Source organism: Homo sapiens, chromosome 18 (assembly GCF_000001405.40).
Source record: "Homo sapiens chromosome 18, GRCh38.p14 Primary Assembly".
NCBI classification, from domain to species: domain Eukaryota; kingdom Metazoa; phylum Chordata; class Mammalia; order Primates; family Hominidae; genus Homo; species Homo sapiens.
The window spans coordinates 645,286-649,619 of NC_000018.10; the positions used below are offsets into that span (position 1 = coordinate 645,286).

The 4,334-nt window shown below is 41.9% G+C and overlaps 1 protein-coding gene across 12 annotated transcripts in view; it reads left to right on the top strand.

Moving 5' to 3' along the window:
* CLUL1 (clusterin like 1) overlaps positions 1–4,334 on the top strand; it is a 53,195-nt gene that overhangs the window by 48,298 nt on the left and 563 nt on the right. Inside the window, exon 9 of one of the 12 annotated variants that reach the window (XM_011525648.4) lies at positions 754–845. The exons of the other annotated variants lie outside the window; for them this stretch is intronic. Within the exon in view, the coding sequence (XP_011523950.2) occupies position 754 (1 nt within the window). The 3' untranslated portion in view covers positions 755–845. Of the gene's footprint in view, positions 1–753; positions 846–4,334 lie in introns of those variants that run through there. 12 annotated transcript variants of the gene reach the window in all.

Sequence of the window (4,334 nt, forward strand, 5' to 3'; positions counted from 1 at the left end):
ATAGGAATGTGATGAAATGGGAATTCTCATATATCATGTATTGGTGGGAACATAATTGGTTTTGCATTTTTGAAAGCTATTTGATTATGCATATGAAGAGCCATAAAATTTCCTTTTGATATAATAATTCCACTTCCGAAATCAATCCTAAGGAATAAATCTAAATTTGATGAAAAGTTCTCCCTCCAAGATCTAGATTTGCAGCATTATTTAAAATATTAAAATGTTGGCCGGGCGCAGTGGCTCATGCCTGTAATCCCAGCACTTTGGGAGGCTGAGGCGGGCGGATCACGAGGTCAGGAGATTGAGACCATCCTGGATAACACGGAGAAACTGCGTCTCTACTAAAATAAAAAAAATTAGCCGGGCGTGGTGGCGGGCGCCTGTAGTCCCAGCTACTCGGGAGGCTGAGGCAGGAGAATGGCGTGAACCCGGGAGGCAGAGCTTGCAGTGAGCAGAGATCGCGCCACTGCACTCCAGCCTGGGCGACAGAGCGAGACTCTGTTTAAAAAAAAAAAAAAAAAAATATATATATATATATATATATATATATATATATATATATATGTTAAACATACTCTTAATGTGTAAAAACAAGAGAATGATTAAGTAGATTATGACTAAATACACTCAATACATTTTATGAAACGTTAAAAATATTCAAAAAATTTAAATAATGACTTGCTAACTACTTTAACAAGAGCTTTATTATCAGCTAGTCTTGGAGGTAATAGTATTATCATGATTTTTCAGAAAAAGATCCTGAGGCTCAGTGTCCAAGGTCCAATGAACTACTCAGGTCGGAGGTGGTAGAGCAGCATGTGGAGCCAGTTCTCTCTCCGACTCCATCATCACACTGCACGGCTTCCTGTTAAGATATTTGCTCAAAAAATGCGAGATATAAAAATCTGGGTAATATGATCAACCTTAAAGAATAATTACATTTTAAATTATTCATGAGACCTTGTTAGTAGGTCACCATCAATGTGTAATTAAGCCAGATGTGACAGGATTTGTTGCCTCTCCCTTTACTTCTGAATTTTGGAGGCCTTTTTTTTTTTCTAGTTGTATCAGTCAGCCAACCAATATCTTTTTAGCATCTACTAAGTTTAGATACGGGAACTGGTACTCTGAAAGAGAAAATGAGAAATTTGACAAGATCCTGTCCCCAAGGAGCTTCCTATCCAACAGGGGCACAAGACAGATAGATAGACACACACACACACACACACACACACACACACACACACACACTATAAAGCAAGGCAAGATTTAGAGAGTGCACAGGAGTGGGCTCTGGGAGTTCAGGGGAGGGTCGTTCACATTCTGGTAGGGAAGATACTTCTGAGCTCAGTATATTCCCTTTCTCACTGTCCTTCTATCCCCTCTCTTCCTCTCCTCCTCTCTTTTCCTCTTTCTTCTCCCTCCTCCCACTCTGTCCTCTCCCTTTCTTTCCTTTTTTCTTTCTTTCTTTTTTTTTTTGAGACAGAGTCTTGTTCTGTCACCCATACTGGAGTACAGTGGCACGATCTCGGCTCACTGCAACCTCGGCCTCCCAGGTTCAAATGATTCTTGTGCCTCAGCCTCCTGAGTAGCTGGGATTACAGGCGCACACCACCATGCCTGGCTAATTTTTGTGTTTTTTAGTAGAGACAGGGTTTCACCATGTTGGCCAGGCTGGTCTTGAACTCCTGACCTCAAGTAATCCACCCACCTTGGCCTCCCAAAGTGCTGGGATCACAGGCATGAGCCACCACACTGGCCTCCTCTCCCTTTCTTAAAAATACATCAATTAATTAAATATATAAATGTAGATACACACACAGGCAGAATCAAAGTGTATAGGTTGGAGAGGAGACTGTTCCAAAAGGGGGGATGGCATGGGCAAATACGGCAAGAAAGAGTAGAGCATCTAGGTACTGAGGGTGCTGGGAAGTCCTGCTAAAAATACGGCAAGAAAGAGTAGAGCATCTAGGTACTGAGGGTGCTGGGAAGTCCTGCTAAAGTGGTCCCCTCCCACTGTGGGGCCTTTGAGTTTCCCTGTGCCAGGGTACCTGCCCTCTGTGAGTTTGAGTTCTTTCTTTGGTTGCAAGCAACCAAGACCAGCTCAGCTAAAAGAAATGGATGGATACCGACTCATGAGTCAGAGGGGAAGCTGGACGTCTATGCCCAGAGCCAGGCAGAAACGGGTCAGGTCTAGAGTCTGGGAGGAGGAAACCGATGGACAGCTGCTTCAGGGCCCAGCGCTCAGGGTGAAGCAGCTGCAGTTGTTTTTAGTCCTCAGATCACTCTGCTCAAGATGTGACTTGCCAGGAGGAATCTGGCTGGCCCAGCTGGGACATGTGTGTCTACCTCTAGACCAGGAGAGAGGAGAGTCTTGGTTGACAGTCCCCATGTAGTACCCCTTTGTTTAGGTTACTGAGTCATCAACAGATCTCAGTTCAAATAGTCACTTCTTCAGGGGCAATATACCCTCTTCTACCCATAAACTAGGGGCAACATACCCTCTCTCCCCTTTCACACATGACCATAACACCATGTAGCACTCAACTCTTGTAAGTTGACATTTACCCATGTGACTCTTTATGAACGTTCATCTCCATCCCGAGACCTACAGTCCATGAGGGTACCACCGTTCTAGGGTTTTTGCTCTTCTCTTTGTCAGTGGGGACTTAGGACTCTGCCTGGCACAGGGCAAACCCTCAATATTTGTTGAATAAATTAATTAATAAACACGTGTAAATGAATATCAGTAGACTACAACAAGAGTAACAGTAGGCGAAGGTGGAAGGCAAAGGTGGGAAGAGGTCAGGGCTCTGAGTGCTGGGCTGTGGAGTCTGAGGTTCACTCTACAGCGCTGGTGAGACACGATAGGTTTTAGAGAAAGGAAGCCTCATGCTGGTGCCCCAGTGGGTACTGACTATGCATTTGTAGCCAAATCAAAGTATTTCCCATAAAGTCATCTATCTCTTCCCAGTTGTTGGGACTTCCAATGGCAATGGGAATTAAGATACTGAGTAATTGGGAGATCAAGCAAATTATTTACTAACAAGGCACACGAAGTGATTTTTCACAGGCAATGTTAATGTTTTTCTTTTTTATGTAGTTTTAAAATTCTAAAAGTAACAAAATCACAACTACCAAACATTTAGACGACAAAAATTATCCATAATCCCACCATCTTAACACAACCACTATTATCATTTGTTTTCCTTATTCACATTTTCTACCTATTTTCTTAGATTCCAAGAAATAGAATTACTTGTTTAGAGGTTATTAACATCTTATTGTTCTGGATATATATATATATATAGCTATATATAGCTAAATTTAATAACAGCAATGTCTGCAGTACCACTTTCTCAAATGCTAACTGGCATTTCAATTTTTTGAGACAGTCTCTCTCTGTTGCCCAGGCAGGATTGCAGTGGCATGATCTCGGCTCACGGCAACCTCCACCTCCCAGGTTCAAGCGACTCTCATGCCTCAGCCTCCCAAGTAGCTGGGATTACAGGTGTGCACCACCACACTTGGCTAATTTTTGTATTTTTTAGTAGAGATGTGTTTTTACCATGTTGGCCGGGCTGGTCTCAAACTCCTGGCCTCAAGTGATCCTTCCACCTCAGCCTCCCCAAGGGCTGGTATTACAGGCATGAGCCACTGCCTGGCCTGGCATTTCAATTTTTAAAATCTTCAGTAATAAATGAAAATTTTTATCTTATTGTTATAATTTTTATGGTTTTTTATTATTCATGAGAATAAACATTTTCCAAGTTTGTTTACTGACTGAATTTCTTTTTTGTGCACCTTACTTGGTATCATGGATAAAATTTTGTCAATTTTCTGATTATATCAATGCATTCAGGGTCCCAAACCTGCCAAAGTTTAAAGAGAAAGATACTAAGGGAAAAACCAGGAAAAGATGGTAGAAAAGAATCACCCTGGCATTTTCAATCACGTAAACATTTGCTAGGTGCCCTAGCTGCAGGTATACAGCTCACTGAAACATGAATTCCAATTTTATAAGGTGAAATATATATTTAGAACCCTCTTCTGGAACTTTCTTCTAGTTATCTAGCATCCTAAGTGCCTGGACGTTCCTGATTGGTTTGCAATGTGTTTTATTTCCCATCCCCAAGTTTCATAGCTGCCGGCCCTGGGATCTACAGTCACAGGCTGTAACACAATATCTTGCACATCCTGAGTCTTTAATAAGCTTTTGTAGATGGGCTCTTACCATCATCATCATCGTGAAAGGCAAATATACAAAATTTGTTGACTAATGTAATGAGTCATGAGTAACAGAAGTTTACTGACCAAACACTACGTGCATG